The sequence below is a fragment of the Homo sapiens genome, chromosome 11 (assembly GCF_000001405.40).
Source record: "Homo sapiens chromosome 11, GRCh38.p14 Primary Assembly".
Classification (NCBI taxonomy): domain Eukaryota; kingdom Metazoa; phylum Chordata; class Mammalia; order Primates; family Hominidae; genus Homo; species Homo sapiens.
The window spans coordinates 20,413,092-20,432,253 of NC_000011.10; the positions used below are offsets into that span (position 1 = coordinate 20,413,092).

Sequence of the window (19,162 nt, forward strand, 5' to 3'; positions counted from 1 at the left end):
AGCAGGCCTTTTTGTTTTGGATAAGCCAACATTGTACTGTTTCTTCAGAAATGTTCTTTGCCTTTTTTATATTGTGAAAAGGTAGTTATTTTTATAGTGTTCTTATGTGTCTCTCCTTTGTCTTCCATTTGAAATTTTAAAATTTGGAGTGAAATGCCTTCTATTCCTCTGTGAATGTACTTCTAAAAGAATATGTAGGAAACAGTTAATTGTTAATATCACTGCAGTTTACTGACTCATTATTCTAACCAGTTGAGGAGGCCGCATAGCATGCTCATCTCAGCATCCAGACATGACTTGAGTTCTAATTTTTCTTTCACTACAACCCCTTTAAGCCCTGATTTCTTCATTTATAAAATGAGGTTGATGGAGTCTTATCTCATAAGATTGTTACAGGAATTGTATCCGTTATGATGCTTTGCAAAATGGCTGGCCCTGTAACTGCTTACTAAATGTTAGCAGTAATGATAATCATGTTAATTATTAGTAGTGGTCATCTGTTTGGCTTGGCATCAATGCCTCAAATAATATTTTACGTTTGGGTGGTTATGTTTCTAAGATGGACATTTATTGCAGCTATCTTGTCAAACTGTGACTACTTTTTTGTCTTCTTTCTATTTCACAATCTCTATTCTCTTATACCATAAAACTTCAAGCTTTAGTCGTACTCTGTACTCACTTGCCTCTCTTCAACTCTGTTCTTAACTTCTCTGATACTTGTCTATTCTTGCATATTGGAGTTTTCTATAACATCAGTCAACAAAAACAGCTCTTCTGGTTAACAGGCTCTAAGTTGTCCTTATCCCTTCTGAGGCCCTTTTCTCGGTCAGAAGTCTATATACAGCAGAATGTCTTCTGTTAAACTCCACAAGCCTACATCTATAAAAGGCACTTTAAATTCTAAAAGATAGATATTTTAAAAATACATAGTCTTTTATTCCTTCAAACACGTGCAACTTAACAATTCTTGGATTATGTTTAAAATAATTTTTGGCTAGGCATGGTGGCTTAAGCACTTTGGGAGGCTGAGGTAGAAGGATCCCTTGAGACCAAGGAGTTTAAGACCAACCTGGGCAAGATAGAACTGTCTCTACCAAAAAAATAATAAATACCTCTACTAACAATTTTTATCTTTTTTATTTAAAAAGGTGATCTAGCATTTCTAAAGAAATGAGTTTAGAATTGGATACATTTTGGTTGTTACTGTAAACTGACAGTATATCAGGTTTTAAGAAGATTAGGCTGGCTCTTCTGAGGTTGCAGACATGAATAAAACAATATAGATTTTCTGAGATGTTATGTTAGTAAGGGCAAATAGGTCTCAAAGTGACATATGGAAGAGAATCAGAAATTGTTTCTTATTTTTGCTATCATACTTTGAACTCTGCAGTGAAAGATCATTTCGGCAACATAAACTTACCTAAGGATAGCAAAGCTATTCAGTTGCCAGACAGTTGTATACTGTGTTTATTACCCTCAGGAAGCGCAGGTAGCGTCTGTTTAATATTTTTACCATTATTCTGGGTGCCTTTGGTTTCTCATTGACACAGTTATGGAATAGCTCATTATTCAGACTTTCAGATGTTACTGCAGAAGAGTTTTTAGGAGAAGGTTGATCCATCATATGGCCATAATGCAGTACACTCAATCTCAGTTTGACATTAAAGATGCAATCTTTTATATTGCCTGTGTTTAGAATACTGTTAGAAAGGAAACATTAAGAAAAGTCTAGAGAATATTTTGATTTATTGTCATGTTTATGCAGGTGTCCTTCTCTAGACACAAGGACAAGAGCTTTATCCTCATCTTTTTATCCCTAACACCTAACAAAGTGTCTGACACACATAGTAGATGCTTAGTTAAGGTTTTTGAATAAAAGTGAAGTATCTTAAGGTAATGATTTTAAAGACAGTGGTGGTGGTAGTGGTGTGTGTGTGTGTGTGTGTGTGTGTGTGTGTGTGTGTATTTTGGAAAAATATTACAAAATACACCAGCAAAAATTCTTGACATAAGGGATGCTACTTCATATTTTGTTTCTAAGTTTAATAGAAATAACAGAAATGTGAATTAAAGCCAAAGAGAAATTTGAACCACTGATGAGGCTAAAATGGTTTTAAAAAAAATTTGTTCTTCAAAAGCCATAAAACTCTGGTGAACGTCATGAAGGTCATCAAGACACCTTACAGGGAAATTAAATTTATTTCCCTTCCTAGTATACCCCGAAATCCCCTTAATTTCTGATTCACTCCAGTGGTTCTGTCTTTGTGGGGTACATTCCATGACCACCCACTAGTTCAGTGATTTACTGGAAGAACTCACACAATTCAGTATAAAGCTGTACTCACAGCTAGGATTACAGAAAAGGGTATAGTGCAGAAACAGCAGGAAAAAGATGACCATAGGCAAAGAGGTCACAGGCAGACTTCCAAGGTATCTCTCTCACTTTTTCCACTAGTTATACAAGACTTTCTTTCCTCCCCAGCTTCATACCTCAGAGGCACATGTGAGATGTCTCTACCCAGGGAAATTTGCATGAGTCTTAGAGACTGTAGTTCTCAAAGCTAGCTGGTCAAGTAGGCATATTTCCACCATGTTGACCAGCCATGGTATACACCCAAACCAGGTAACAAGTGTGCATGATGAATCTTCATGTTTACTTTAAACATATTGTCAACCTGCTTCATCTAAACCTACTGCTTCAGGTAAAATAGAGTAACATTATTATTCTGCAATCATATGAGTGATCTGGGAGTTCTTGTTCTTAGAGTTTGATCAAGAATCATTGCCATGGCTATAGAGATCTAAGCAAGAACTGAGTAAAACAAAACAGACCTGCTGCATTCACTCATTTCTTCCGAGTTGTAAACCTGGGATTCATACTTGACATTTTCTTCCCCTTTACCCAACATACCTGTTGGAGACAGAGTCCTGTTGAGTATCCTTAATGTTTCTCAAATGTGTCTCTCATCTATCCATGATGTTTCTCATGTCTTACTTTACATTCTTAGATCTCTCACCTGAATTAATGCATCTGCACTTAACTGGACCAGTTGTTTGTACTTTGTCTTTGCCTCCCACCACTCTCTGTCATCTGTTCTCTGTAGTGCAGCCAGACTGATTTCCCCACTTAATTCTCCTCTATTTTAAATAAAGAGGAAGAAGGGGTGGGGGGAAGATATGTTTGTCTTGGGAAGACATAAAAGAGGGTAAATTACATATGATTCTACTATCAGAGACTACTATCAACATTTTGGTATATTTCTTGCCACTCTCAAAAGCCTTAGGTCACAGAGATGAAATTCATAGGAATGTAAACTTTACTAAAATATCAGCTCCCCGTGGTGTGGCAGGAATTTTTCTTTTTTTCATTCTTTAATGTGTCCCAACTACCAGGAAGGGGACCCAGCACATCCTAGGCATTCAGTGTAAGTACTTATTCAATGAATGAATTAATCAATTTTCAAGATTTGGGACATTACATATTCAAAGCCAGGTAAATCATTGTCACCAAAGCCTGCAAACCCATTGTTTCTGATAGATTCCAGATGACTATTTTTATATTTTTTCACTTTATTAGAACTGAGTTATTGCTAATTTCGAACAATAAATGTCCTCAGTGTTAGTAATTCCACAGCTACACATTTGTAAATAAAGATGATACATTTGGGAGGGAGCAGCTCATAGAATAGCCCGTTATGGTTCCAGGTCTATGCCCCATACCTTCTTGGTAGTTCGTTTCTCATGGGATGTGTGTAAATCTACCCCCAGCTTCATAATGTTTAAGAATTCTTGCTTTTTGTTGACATTTATGAATGAAGGACTGGATACTTTAATAAAGATAACTGGCATAGGTTTTGTCTCTGAGGGGAAAGGGTGGAGACTGGTCAGTTTACAGTTACCCCCGTAATGTTTTAGTCCCTTTATCACTCCCACTTTGTAAACCTCTTGACTCCAATGGTTTGCGTTGTGAAGAATGGCTCCACCTCCACTGTCATGCTCGCTGACGTGTGCACTGAGTACTGGGTCTTTCTTCACAGGTTTACCAATATAATTTCATTCCCTTTTTTCTCTCACTGAATTATGAGATTCTTTGGCTCTTTGATATTCCCTTCCAAAATCTCCATGCATTTATCAGTGTCTTACATTTTACGTTATTGTCATTTCACTGTTCTTAGGGAGCAAAAGAGAAATAAATATGTATACTTCGATGACATATTGAACTGAAAGTAAATGAATAGTATATATTGTATCTATTTATATCTATTAGGATATTCCTTTCTTCTCCCCCATAAGCTATCATCCATATATTCTAGGTGAACTTTAAATTTGTTTTATCACTAACTTTAAATGCACTCGATTAGGTGTTCATTGTATGAACTCACATGTACTTTATGCTGTTTGCTTGTCTGTCTCCCCACTAGACCATCTTCTTCTTAGAACATAGACCGTATCTTTTACCTAAATCACATAGGGAAAATGTAGATTGAAAATTTAATCCTATATTTTTTATTCCAAAGATCCTGAAATGACTCTTCATTATCTTTAAGTAAAATATAGACTTGAAGATAAGTCATAGCATTACCTCTAAATATCCCCCAACTATGTCACTGTATACTATCTCTTGTTGCTCTAGTCATACTAAACTGTTCAGTTATTTAAATTTGCTTCTCTCTCTCTCTCTGTCACACACACACACACACACACACAGGAGGCAGTTGTGCACAGACACAACCCTCTTCTACTCCCATACCTGTACACATCTTTGTGTATGCTGTGTCCTTTCCTGGCTAAGCTCAGATGTCACTTAGATAAGGATTTATCATTTGAGCTTCCATAGTCCCCAATCCTGTTTACTGTTCTGTCTCTCTTAGACCATACCCGTAAGTGCATGGACTGTGTCTTTTATCTCTGTATGCTTCGTGCAAGATAATTAATCATGATGATGTCCCTGTATCATGAAGTGAAAGTTAAATTGCTACTTTTAAGATAGGAAATAAGATAGGAAAGTATGTGTTCTAACAAAATTTCCCCTCAGAAAAAGTTGATAATTTCATTTTTATTGGATTAGTGAAGAGAATTACTTAAAGATATCCTTTTTATTACCTCGTCATAGTTCTCTACATTAGAATCATGCTAGTTTTTCAGTAGGTGTTTCCAAAGATAAAGATTCATTTGGTTTATACTGAAGTAGGGTTTAGTGAGTAGCCACTTGAGAAAACTAAGTAAAATCTGTATATTTTTTTCACGAATGGAAAAAATCAGGTGGTGATTAACAGTCTCATGAAAGAGGTTTTCTGTGTCAGTGATATCTGTTTTAATACAAAATTAATGGGAATTACAAGGCTTTGTCTTTTTTCCTGTGTTTTCCCTTAAGTCATAATCTTTCTTGTTATAGTCATATTTGAACAAATAATTTCTGATACAAATAGGTTTATAACTTGTAGCAGACAATAAACAGGCCTAGCAGATGGTCTTTTACAGAACACAGATCTTGTTTCGGCATAACCATTCTGAAGATATTTTTAAGCAATGGGAACATTTTTCTCTTTTAAAAGAAGCTTGCCTTCAGTTTTCTTTGAAGTGTTTGTCATTGTTAAAGCCTTAATCAGTATTTTGGTAAGCAACAAGCAACTATAGCAATTTCATCAGAATTTTATTAAATACCCTTTTGAAAAAAAAAACTCATAAACATTTCTGTAAAACTTTTTGTATGAAATATGTAAAATGAGTACATAAAACATCAATAAACATGTTTAATATGCATAAGTATCCATAAATAACAAATGAAATTAAACATGTAGTAACCATCACCCAGGCCAAGAGAACTTTGCCACCAATTCAGAATCCCACCCACCTCCACTGCTCTTTCTCAATCAGATGGGCTGGTATGAACAATTTTGTTATGATCAGTTTTTACATGTGCCTTGGTGCACACATCTGGGGGGTGTATACTTAGAAGTAGAACTGTGGTCCTTAGGGTATACATATCTTCAAATTTCCTAGATATTGCCAGACTATTTTCCAAAGTGATTATACCACTTTATCTTACACCTATAGTATGTAACAGTTGTGGTTGGTATTATCCACCATTAAAAAATGTTTCCAGTCATTTGTGTAGCAGTATCTCATTGCAATTTTAATTTTTGTTTCTTTGATTGCTAATGAAACTGAGCACCTTTTCATGTGATTGTTAGCAATTTGGATTTCCTTTTTCTGTGAAATATCTGTTTATGCCTTTTGCTCAGGTTTCTTTTGAGTTGTGTCTTGTTCAAGTATTCATAGGCAATCTATGTGTATATTTTGGACTTGAACTGTTGATAGGTTTTATGTAACGTGAAAGTCTTCTCTCATTCGTGTTTGCCTTTTCACCCTCTTTGTCATATCTTGATGATCTGAAATTCTCAGTTTTCATATGGCAACATTCTTATTTATAGTTGCCACTGTTTGTGAGTTGAGTAAGGAATCTGTACCTTTTCTTAGGTTATAGAGGGTATATTTTCTTGTAAGTGCTTTATAATTGTGCTTTTTACACTTAGGCATTGATTTTTGTATATAGTATGAAGTGGTGGTCCAGTTTTGTTCCTTTTTTTGGTATTCTCTTTAGATGACCCAGTTGTCCTGGTCCCATTCATTATTCTTTGTACTTACACTATCATTTTTATCAAGAATCAAGCATCATTATATGAGGTCTTTATAACTTTTATACTAAAACTCCATTAAGGCAGTAGAACCGAAAATCACAAGTCACTCATTCATGAATGCAAATGCAAGAATCCTAATAAAAATATTGGAAAGCTAGGCCAGGCACAGTGGCTCACGCCTGTAATTCCAATACTTTGGGAGGTCAAGGTAGGTGAATTACTTTAGGCCAGGAGTTCGAGACCAGCCTGAGCAACATGGCGAAACCCTATCTCTACTAAAAATACAAAAATTAGCCCAGCATGGTTGCACATGCCTGTAATCCCAGCTACTTGGGAGGCTGAGGCAGGAGAATTGCTTGAACCCTGGAGGCGGAGGTTGCAGTGAGCTGAGATCGTGCCACAGCACTCTAGCCTGGGTGATAGAGCAAGACTCTGTCTCAAAAAAAGAAAAGGAAAACTGAGCAATAAATTGGGAAGTAAAGTTTATTCTAGGAATGCAAAGTTGGTTAAATATGAGAAAATCAGAAAAATCTATTGAGCGTCTCAAGAGATGCAGTATAAAAGTCTGATAAAATTTAGTATCCATTCAATGTATCTATGTATTTAAAACTGTTAGTAAACTAGAGTTAGAAAGCAGTGTCCTAATATGATAAAGAACAGGGGTCCCCAATCCCCAGGCTGCGGATGAGTATCTGTGGGTGTCCTGTGAGGAATTGGGCCACACAGCAGGAGGTGAGCAGTGGGTGAGTGAACATAATCGTCTGAGCGCCACCTCCTGTCAGATCAGTGGGGGCAATACATTTTCACGGATTGCAGGCGCTATTGTGAACTGCGTATGCGAGGGATCTAGGTCGTGCATTCCTTACAAGAATCTAATATCTGATGATCTGAGGTGGCAGTTTCATCCCAAAACCATCTCCCACCCCCAGGTCCATGGAAAGATTGTCTTCCACGAAACTGGCCCCTGGTGCCAAAAAGGTTGGGGACTGCTGATAACAGAATATCTATAAAAACAAAACCTACAACCAGTATTGTGATGAAGCATTGAAAGCATTCTCTTTAAGTTCAGGAACAGGACAAGGATACCTTTCATCACCTCTTCTATCCAACACCATAAAGGAGATCCTAGCCAATGCACTAATATGATAAAAAGAGAAGTATAAGAATTGGATGTGAAAAAACAAAACTGTTTTTATGTTTATGTATGTTTATGAATACATACATTAGAAAGAAGCTATAAACAAATTACAGTAAAAGTATCAAGATGCTGAATACGTAATTAATCAGAGTTTATTATTATTATTTTTTGTTTGTTTGTTTTTTTGAGACAGGGTCTTAGTTTGTCATCCAGGCTGGAGTGCACTGGCAAGGTCATGTCTCACTGCAGCCTTGACCTCCCAGGCCCAAGTGATCCTCCTACCTTGCTTCTCGAGTAGCCGGGACCACAGGCTCACGCCACCGTGCCTGGCTAGTTTGTTTATTTTTTGTAGAGACAAGTTCTTCCTATGTTGCCTAGGCTGGTCTTGAACTCTTGGGCTCAAGCAATCCTCCCGTCTTGGCCTCTCAAGATGCTGGTATTATAAGCATGAGCCACCACTCCTGGCCTATTGTTAATATTTTTAACCTCCTCCCAGACAATGCAAGGACATTAAGTCACTTTAAATGGAAAATTCACCCTGGGGATGAACATCCCCCAATAAATGTTGGCTGTGACTCATGGGTCAGCTGTTTTAATTTCTTCCTCCCCACTACCTTCTGACCTTGATCATTATCTCCTTGCCATATATTTCTCAGGTATCTTTTGTTTTATTGTTTTCTGCAATCACTTATGCAAAGAATAAGTCTCCAAAAACCCTTAATGACCACCAGAATTTGAACTGTCCTCTACAAAGCTTGTTAATAATTTCTTCGTAGAACCCTCATCTAATTTCTCTTTTTTACATCATTTTTCAAAAACCATTGAGTCCTTGGTTATTTTTTCCCTTGTCCTTTCTTTCCTCTCTTTGATTTTCCTTTTCCTTTCTATGTTAAAAACATCATGTGGGCCCCGTGCTTGTTAACTGAGCCAGTCAATGAGATAGTGCCTCCTGAATATTCTCTTAGCCTCCTAACGGTAAGATTACATAAAGTACTCGAGAATGGGGAGTTGCTAATTTCTACATACATTGTCACCTGTGTCCATAGCATTAAATTCTATTGTTATCATAAAGCCTATCTAAGTTCAGTTGCACTCCTAGCATGCCTACTCCTTCAGAAGGACTGTTTGCTTTATATGTGGGGAAGAGAGTATGGCAGTTACCCCTCTTGCGGTAGGTATGCTGCAATCCTACTTTTACTCACTGTAGCAGATTAGTTGTCATACCACCTGGAAGAATCTCTTCACAGCCACTTGGGGATCAATCAAGCCAGTAATCCCTTCTACTCAGTAGTATGTAAAGTAAGTGATGTGTTTCCCTGATTGTTAATTCTGAGAATTTATGCCAGTAGTAAATGTTGAGAGTTTATGCCAACAGTGAATCACCAGGCTTTTTTGGTGTTTCTCTGTAAAACAGTTTCTTTTTTTTTTACTGAATACTCTCAGAACATAGTAGTCCCCGAAACTTGTCCTCTAACTGTCTGCATTGTCTTTGTGACAACTCATAGTTTTAAGTTCATTACTTTCCTGTTGAATACTTCATTTTTCCAGGTAGACGTAAAAGCATAAGAAGTCTTTCAGTGAGGAAAAACTCTCTCTTGCCACCATTTCCTCTCTAAAAAGACTGACATTTATTAGAAACTAGTAACAGCCAGAGAATGGGATTTTTCACTATCTTCCCCTCTGCGTACTATTCCCTATCAGTCCACTAGCAGGTTCTCTAAATCTTGCCATTTCCTACCGAGGTTAGGTAGGCAAACATCCTAGGATTCAATCCTCTGCCAGTTTTCTTTTTTTAAATTCCTTCCTTTTTCTGACTAAAAAAATTATTTAGGCTTTGTGATTCATGGGTCTGCAAGAGAGTCCTGCACACAGCACCATCCTGAGCTAACATAGTTTCAAGTCAGACACACGTGAACCTAATTACCCGATATTACCAAGAGAGATTACCCAGTTTTAAACTTTATTAATAATTTCAAAGGTACAGGCAATCAGGGGACTCAGAAGAAGTAGGGATCAACCTGGCACATAGAGCAAGGCTTCTTACTGTGTGAATTGATAACCCATCCACCCCATTTGAAGACCTTTTCTACTCTGGGCCAGAGATTGTGTAGCTTATGTAGGGAAGGAAGGACCGAAGCAGCTGCTTTTAATATCCCAAATCTCTTAGTCTGGACTTCCTGATTCCCTGTATTTTAAAAATTATTTGTAAAGCTTGACACTGGGTAAGATCTCTGGTTCATGTGAGTTAGATTTGACACTCTGATCTTATGTATTCTTTCACCCACATATGTCCATTCACTTCTCTCATTTCTTCCTTTTTCCCAGACCATCTAGGACCAGTTTTCTTCTTCTTGAACTAATTTTTTAATATTTCCTTCATTGTACATTTATGTCAGTAGCCAAAGAGATTGTTGTTAGTTGGTCTGAAATGTATTTTGCCTATAATTCTGGGAGATATTTTTCTCTACATATAGAATTCTACATTGGCAGTAATATTGTTGTACAGGAGTTGGTAAACCTCAGTCCATGGGCCAGCTACCTGTTTTTGTAAGTAAAGCTGGAACACGGCTGGGCCTTTTTGTTTACATATTGTCTATTGCCTCTTTCACACAGAAATAGCAGTTGAATAGTTGCAACAGAGATCATATGTCCTGCAAGTCTAAAATATTTTTACTTCGGCAGTTTAAGAAAAGGTTTGCTAGTTCATTGGTGATATTCTACTATCTATGGCTTTCATCGTTGCTATTTTAAGAAGTCACCTGTCAGAACAATTGTTATTCCATTGAAGATAATTTGCCTTTGTTGATTTTTTTTCTCTGATTTTTTTAAGTATTAAAGATTTTAAAGAATTTAGTCTTGAGATTCATTGGATTACTTCTGTCTGTGGCTTAATGCTTTTTATCAGTTCCAAAAAGTTCTCTTGATCCCGGGAGTTTGAGGTTACAGTGAGCCATGATCACACAACTGCACCCCAGCCTGAGTGACAGAGTGAGATTCTCTCTTAAAAAAAAAAAAAAAAAAAAAAAAAAAAAGGCCAGGCGCGGTGGCTGACGCCTGTAAACCCAGCACTTTGGGAGGCCGAGGCAGGTGGATCACGAGGTTAGGAGATCGAGACCATCCTGGCTAACACGGTGAAACCCCATATCTACTGAAAATACAAAAAATTAGCTGGGTGTGGTGGCGGGCGCCTGTAGTCCCAGCTACTCGGGAGGCTGAGGCAGGAGAATGGTGTAAACCCGGGAGGTGGAGCTTACAGTGAGCCGAGATCGCGCCACTGCACTCCAGCCTGGGCAACAAAGCAAGACGCCATCTCAAAAAAAAAAAAAAAAAATTGATATGGGAGTGCAAATGATCAAGAATAGCCAGAAGGATTTTTAAAAAGAATAAACTTTAAGGAGGTACTATCAAATTTCTTGGCTGAATTTAAAGCTATAGTAATGAAGAAAGTGTTGTATTGGCATAAGGATACACATCTAAATTTGGGGGCAGAATTGAAAGTCCAGAAATAAATCCACACATACATGGTTGTTTTTGACAAAGATATCAAAGTAATTCCGTAAGTTAGTGATAGTTTTCCCAACAACATTGAAACTGTCACTGTTGATAGTCTGTCCAACAAAGTTTTTTCAACACTGTATCAGTAGTTATTGATATGGGGGAAAAATGAACAAGATACATATGGGAAAATTAAATGAAAACTGAAAACATTTTAGGAGAAAACATAGGTGAAGTATTTGGTGTAGGCAAAGATTCCTTAGATATGTCACCAAAAGCATGAACCATAAAAGAAAAAAATGATAAGTTGTTCTTTATCAAAGTTAAAAACTTTAGCTATTCAAAACATACCATTTAAAAAATTAAGAACCAAGCCACAGTATGGCAGAATTACTTACTGTACATAAATCTGACAGAATTTATGTCCAGAATATGTAAAGAACTCTTAGAATTCAGTAATAAGAATACAACTGGGCTAAGTGTGGCAGCTCATGCCTGTAATCCCAGCACTTTGGGAGGTTGAGGTAGGTGGATTGTTTGAGACCAGCCACAACATAGAGAAGCCCCATCTCTACAAAGAACACAAATATTAGCCAGGCATGGTGTCACGCACCTGTAGTCCCAGCTACTCAGGAGTCTGAGGTGAGAGGATCACTTGAGCTTGAGAGAGGTTGAGGCTGCAGTGAGCTGTCATTGCACCACTGCATTCTAACCTGGGCAACAGAGTGAGACCCTGTCTTTAAAAAAAAAAAAAAAAGAAAGAATACAACTGACCTGATGTTTTAAATGGGCAAAAGATTCGAACGAAAGAAGACATGGGAATATGGCAAGCAAGCCTAGAAAAAATGCTTGATCATTAGGAAAATGCAGTTTATAACCACAATGAATTCTTTCTACACAGTGAAAATTTCGAAGATCAACAATAGTGATTATTAACAAGGATGTGAAGCAACAGGAATGCACATGTATTACTGCTGGAAATGTCAAATTGTTTATATGCTTTGTAAAACAAGTTGGCAGTTTATTTAAAAAGTTAGATATACACTACCATTTGATGGAGCAATTCTGCTTATACACAGATGTTTATACCAGCTTTATTCATTATGGTCCAAAGCTAGAAGCAATCCAGAATTACATACACAGGTGAATGTATAAACAAAATTGTGATTTATCCATGTGGTGGAATACTACTCAGCAGTAGCAAGGAACAAACAAACTACTGATATACACAAAAGCATACATGAAACTAAAAAAGCATCATGCTTATTGGAGGAAGCCAGGCACAAAAAGAATCAGCACGATTCTGTTAGTATGAAACTCTGTCTGTAAAATGCAACTCTAATATATAATGAAAGAAAGAAAATCAGTGGTTGCTTGTGGATGGGGAGATTTTCTGGGATGGGCACTAATCTTTGGGGGAAGAGGAAATGTTCTATATATTGATTGTGGTGGTCAACAAAGTATCTGTTTTTCGGAATTTAACAAAACTACCCTAAAATGAATGCACTGAATTGTTTGTAAATAATACCCAATGAAGTTAAGGGGTACAATTTCTTCTTTGATGCAGGAAAAAAATCCTCTATAGTTACAATGTACATTCTGAGAATTGAGAATTTATTAATCAGATGTAAACTTAACCAGCAGCTTACATTCACCTTTGTGAAAATAACTGTTGTTTCATATTACAGAAGAAGGGGAAATATTGCTAATCTTATGATCAAGTGTATAAGAACATCTAATGAGTGCCACTGGTCAAGGTTAATTTTTGATAGTGATAAGATTTCAGGTTTTAACACTTAATGTTTTGTTGTTGATGATAGTGTCATTGTTTATAGATACATGTATAGCTTTCACAAGTATTTGATCCTCTTAATAGCCTGTGACGTAAATAGGGTCGGTATTATTCTCTTTTACACAGGAGTAGCACAGGCTCAACGAAATTACTTAAAAATTTGGTGAAGATCACATAGCTGACAAATGCTAGAGAATCTGGGGGTTAAATTATGGGCTTGGGGCTTCAAATTCTCTCACCCCTATGACAGACACAACACTTCCCTTTAAACCATACTTTTATATGTCTTATATGTCTGTCTTCACCACTGTGTTGTTTGTTTTAAAGACATGTAACTTCATTGACATGTTATTCTTGATAAAATTTGGATTTCTTTTCAAACTCAGATTTTAAATATTGGTTCACTGTATTGCCATATTAACCACAAACATCTTTGGGCATGCATGGAGTAACCATAAAATAATTACAATGTCCAAAGAACAACTAAGCTTTGATTGAAATACTTTTTTGTCCCACAAAACAATACGAGTTGTTGGCAAAAAATTATGTAATTTAACTAGCTTTCAGAATCTGTTTAACCTACTAATCTAATTCATTATAATTTTCAGACTAAATAAACTTGAAGATACTATTACACTAATTAAAGGAAAGATTGAAGAAGTTCATCTTCCTGTAGAAAAAGTAGATGTTATCATATCTGAGTGGATGGTGAGTGTTTATAGAAAAAACTACTTTCACTGGTAAAATGAAAAAACTTTTTTAAAGTAATAGTTTTCATGAATTTAATTATATTTGATACATGGCAGAATGGTGACATTATTTTTTAAGTAGCTACATTAGATACTATAATGTGTAATTTAAAAAAATAGCTACAGTCTTCTTACTGTAGTTTATTCTGAAATGGCCCTTATTTATTGGCTATTCATAATCTTTAAAAAGTGATAAATTATCTTTTTTATCTTAAAAGTCCTGATAAATTATTTTTCTACTTTCTAAGTTTTAGATACCTAAGTGTTTGCCTGAAAGCCTCCAGGGACTAATAAGAACTCATTAGGACTGTTTCATCAAAATTAACATGATATTGCCACCATTATCATACTGAATGTCCTATCTTTCTAATCTGTTGGGCCATGTAATCAATGTCCATTATCACATAAAATAGAATTTATTGCTGTTACTGAAATATTAAAAGGAAGGTATGTTACATAGCTTTATAATTTGCTGTTGAAATCTTTTGTCAAGACAGAATGTTTATTTTTAAATATATGGAAATAAAATTAATGGAGTCTGGGTATGGTGGCTCACACCTTTAATCCCAGCACTTTGGGAGGCTGAGGCAGGTGGATCACCTGAGGTCAGGAGTTTGAGACCAGCCTGGCCAACGTGATGAAACCCCATCTCTACTAAAAATACAAAGATTAGCTGGGCGTAGTGGCAGGCACCTGTAATCCCAGCCACTTGGGAGGCTGAGGCAGGAGAGTGGCTTGAACCCAGGAGGTTGGAGGTTGCAGTGAGCCAGGATCACGCCACTGCACCCCAACCTGGGTGACAGAGCGAGACTCCACCTCGAAAAAAAAAATGTATTTGACAGCTGATTTGACTTACTGATATGTCAATTTGACAGAAATAAACTGGATAGTGTTTCTAATAAAGATTTTTAAATTATTTTGAAATAATTTTTTTCCTTAAAGTTCTGTTTGGTAGATATATTTTCATAAAATTTATCAAAAAATTTTGAAAACATTGAGTTTTGCTTTATAATTTTTTATAAATTTTGAATAAACATAGTTATAATCCTAGTGAAATAGATGTTTCAAGGAACTTTTGGAATATTCAGATTTAATGTAGTAGTGTAGGGAGTTCCAGTCTAGAGCTGATGACAGTCACAGTTGTTGACAGTTACTATTTTGTATGTGAAACAGTATGTTGATTTTTTTTTTAATGCTAAGATTGGCCTTAAACAACCTTTAGTCACAATATCAGTATTCTCACACCAAAGAATTTGTATCAGCACTCTGATTTCTCATGAATTGAAAGAGTAGATATGAATTAAAAATGTAATATTTCTTTAAAGACTATGAAAAGATGCTTCTGAGAAAGCACATTTGAGGCATATAGACAAGAATTTTAAATAGTTTATGCTGTATATTTTACTCTTCTTAGAAAATGCATCTTTTAAATTACTCCAAAATAGACTTTATAGGCAAACCAAAAGAAAGACTTGTCCAAACTTCCTGTTACCTCAGTTGAACATTATTATATATCTGATTACAATAACTAATGGGATAGTTCTTGCTCTGCCTAGCAGAATTATACTGCTGGATATTGATGTTCTAGGATTTTTCACTTCCAAATCTGAAAGATGATCTAGAATTATTAATAGGCAATTGATATCTTAGAGCCAGCTGGTTTAATAACTGCAGTTAGCTGGATTGAATGAATTCATGAGATTGTCTTTATGATGTGAACTTTATTGAAAGTTGTACTGGAATCCATTTTGTACCCTTCTGCTTTCTTCTGTACCAAGGAGGGCTAACCCTGCAGGCTGCCTTTACCAAGCTCCTATGATGGCTAACTTCTGCTGAGTTTGGGGAACCCAATGGGAAACACTAGAAACACTAAATCTCCCAAGATTTAAGAAAGGGAGAAGCCAGGGCATTTCTTCCCTTCTTACTTTATCTCTAGTGTGTTGCTGGCAAAAGCTATTTCTTTTGTGGTTCCACTTCCCACCGAACAGGCATGCTGAAATTCCAGCATCCACTGTGCAACCCCAGCCCTGGGTTCTTGTAGCAGTAGCCTAGGAATGCTAGTTACTTGTGGGCATTGTCAAGTCTGGTTGTCTCACTCTCTTGATGACTGCTCATATCTTTTATCCTCTGTATAAGTGACTTTTGACATTAAATTTCCTCTATTTTAAATAGCTTTTGTGGTTTCTCTTTTCCTAGTTTGTGCTTGTAACTCAGCAGTCCCTAGACTTCTTGGCACCAGGGTCCAGTTTCATGGAAGACAGTTTTCCCATGGATTGGGGGATGGGGATGGGATGGTTTCAGGATAAAACTGTTCCATCTCACATCATTAGATTCTCATCAGGAGCATACAGTCTAGATCCTTCACTTGGGCAGTTCACAATAGGGTTCACGCTCCTGTGAGAATCTAATGCCACTGCTGATCTGACAGGAGGCGGAGCTCAGGTGGTAATGCTGGCCTGCCACTCACCTCTTGCTGTGTAGTCCAGTTCCTAACAGGCCACGGACCAGTACCCATCCCTGGCTTGGGGGCTGGGGACTTGCTCTAACTGAAATAAAGAACACCTTTCACTTCAGAGCGTTGGTCAGGTAAGACCTCTCTCTTCATCAGGAAGGCAGTCACTGGAGTCACTGGAGCCTGAGATGAAAGGAGCCAGTTGTTTGGAAGCCAAGGTTCTTCGAAACCAGTAATGAAAAACAAATCAGTGTATTCAGGAAGGGATAACTAAGAACTTTTCTTCTTCCTCACCACAAAGGTGTTACTTAAGCATTTGTATTATCTCACTGTCTGCCTTTCCTTGTTTTAAGTGAGTTGAAGTCTAGCAACTGTTTTAAGTGCTCTAGGTGGGGCATTGGACACTAAACTTACAGCAGTTATTCTATGGCAGTCAGCTCTGGATGGCCTTATTTCTCTGGTGAAATTTGCATTTAAGGCTTAAGAAGGCTTGTGCTAAATTATTTTCAATCATCTTTGTGGATTGGAAATATCATTTATGGTATCTTCTAAATCCTAGAAGTCCCTAACTTTATTTGGTACTTTCATTAGGATTTTTGATTTGAGAAGCTGGAAAACATCAATTACATAATTAAACAAAGGGCAGGTATGCTTTCTAAACTTTATCCTCCATGTTTCAGGCGCATTGGCTGAAACAGTAGGCAAATGGTAAACAACTATTTTAAATCTGTAGCCACATTTTCATGAACCAGCATTTTAAACTTAAATTGCACAGACTCCTGTCTTTATTTATTTTATTTTTTACATACAACATAATAAAGATGCAAAAATCTAGAATGAACCATAGTTAAGCATTTTTTTTCTCTTTTTACAAGTATTTTCAACAAGGAAAGACAAAAATAGAATATACCCTCCAGAATTGGGCACAGATGTTTAATGGATGTGTAATCCGGTATAGCAGTGTAGAAATCATATAGCAGAGATGTACATGTTTTCTTCTACTGTGGTCCACTAACTATTCCATGGCTTAATCTAAATATGTTTCTAGTCTGCACCTGTTCATGAATTTTTGTCTTTATTTTGGAAGATTTTTCTAGATAAGAATGTAATTTTAAAAGCTAAATTATTGCTGTTAGCATGTTATTTAATAAACAATCACTTGGCTTGCATTAACAAATTTCCAGTTCTAGGCTTGCCTTTAATTTTATATTTTCATTTTTGTTTTTATTTAAGAGAAGTTTTCTTTTTATTTTATATATTTAAGGTGTACAACATGATGTTTTGATTTACACAGTGAGATTATTACTGCTGTCAAATTAACATGTCTGTCATCTCACATACTTACCTGTCTTTCTGTATGTAATAAGAGCACCTAAAATCTATTCTCTTAGGAAATTTTTCATATACAATACAATATTACTAACTGTAGTCATCATGCTCTACATTTTCATTTTTATCAGATGGAATTTCTGTTTGACAAAATTGTTTCAGTTAAATGTAAACAGTTTAATCCCTGGAAGATGTTAATACCTATGTCTTTGTGTATGTGTCCTCATTTTTTACATTTTAGTCTACCAATAGAAGTTCTTGTTTTGAGAGCTGTTCTTTATTGCTTCTTATTTCTGCCTACTTAATAAAACTGTTCAAAATAAGCATCCCTAATTCCGACTCAGTAAGCCAAATTGACTCATTTGGTGTTGCTATATTTCCTCTATGTTTTCAGCATAACTTTGCAAACACATAGACTAAGTCCACGAGGCTTAGCATTAGTAAATGATGACGGAATGTGAATTGTAAAATTGTAAGAGAACGTTCCCAAACAGAAATTCGCTGGCCTCAGACATTTATAATTTTATGTACAATACATGAAGGCATGGAGATATAGTATATGACAGGGTTAAGAATGTTGCTCCAGAGGCAAACTACCTCCATTCTTGGGCATGTTACCTCTCTGTGCCTCAGTTTCCTTCTCTATAAAATGAAAATAACAGTATTACCTACTTCATAAGGTTTTTTTGTGAGGATTAAATGAGTTAATACATGCAAATTTCTTAGAACAGTTTCTGGCACATAAGATCTCAATAACTTAGGTATTCAGTTTTGAAAGTTATACAAACTTTTAAGTACTCTGTAACTCATGAGCGAGCTACTACACTAGCTAATTCAATAAATAACAGTTGAAAATAATCATATACATGAAATAAAGAATATTAATTCTTGGAGGAAGAACATTCTTAGGGCTTCTCCCTTGCTTAAAGCCCTTTGTAAAAGCGGAAGACTTTCTCTTTCCATGTCTAGCATTTACTAATTGACTGTCTGTGGTTGGTATACAGAAGTATGAAAGTAAGCTGATGGATGTGAGTTATTGGGATTTGGGGTATTCTTGGTATTTTTCTTAATGTTAGTTGAATCAAAATGTACTTTATGTATATTTCAAGCATAATTCTCAGTTTGCTGCCTTGGAAACAATTTTTAGGCAGTGCTGACAATGCCTAATAATTTTAGATAAAATATAAAATTCCCATTCCGCAGTACTGTTTTCTAGTACTGTTAAGTATTAACAGGGAGATATTTATAGTACTTGAACAATGAAAGAAAAGTTGTGGTTCATATTTTTTCATAGATATGCTAACATCTGAATCAAGAATAAAATGAAAGCAAAGGGAATAGAAATGTAATAGGTCCCTTGTGTATAATTATTTTGGTCTTATAATCTATATTTTTGTTCTTGTCTGTGCTCTTAACCACTTCCTAGCCTTTCTTTTATTCAATCTTCGATAAGTGACAAAGTATTCTAATCATGAATATTAAAAGGTTAAGTTATTCAGGAACATGAATCAACTGCCCTTACAAACATTTTTCAGGTAATCCCTCAGAGAACACAAAATATTTGTT

General features: G+C 36.1%; 1 protein-coding gene across 6 annotated transcripts in view; it reads left to right on the forward strand.

Moving 5' to 3' along the window:
• PRMT3 (protein arginine methyltransferase 3) overlaps positions 1-19,162 on the forward strand; it is a 121,623-nt gene that overhangs the window by 25,376 nt on the left and 77,085 nt on the right. For 5 of the 6 annotated variants that reach the window (NM_005788.4, NM_001145167.2, NM_001145166.2 and 2 more), the window contains one exon: positions 13,675-13,774. The exons of the other annotated variant lie outside the window; for it this stretch is intronic. In NM_005788.4, the coding sequence (NP_005779.1) occupies positions 13,675-13,774 (100 nt within the window). The remainder of the gene's footprint in view (positions 1-13,674; positions 13,775-19,162) is intronic. 6 annotated transcript variants of the gene reach the window in all.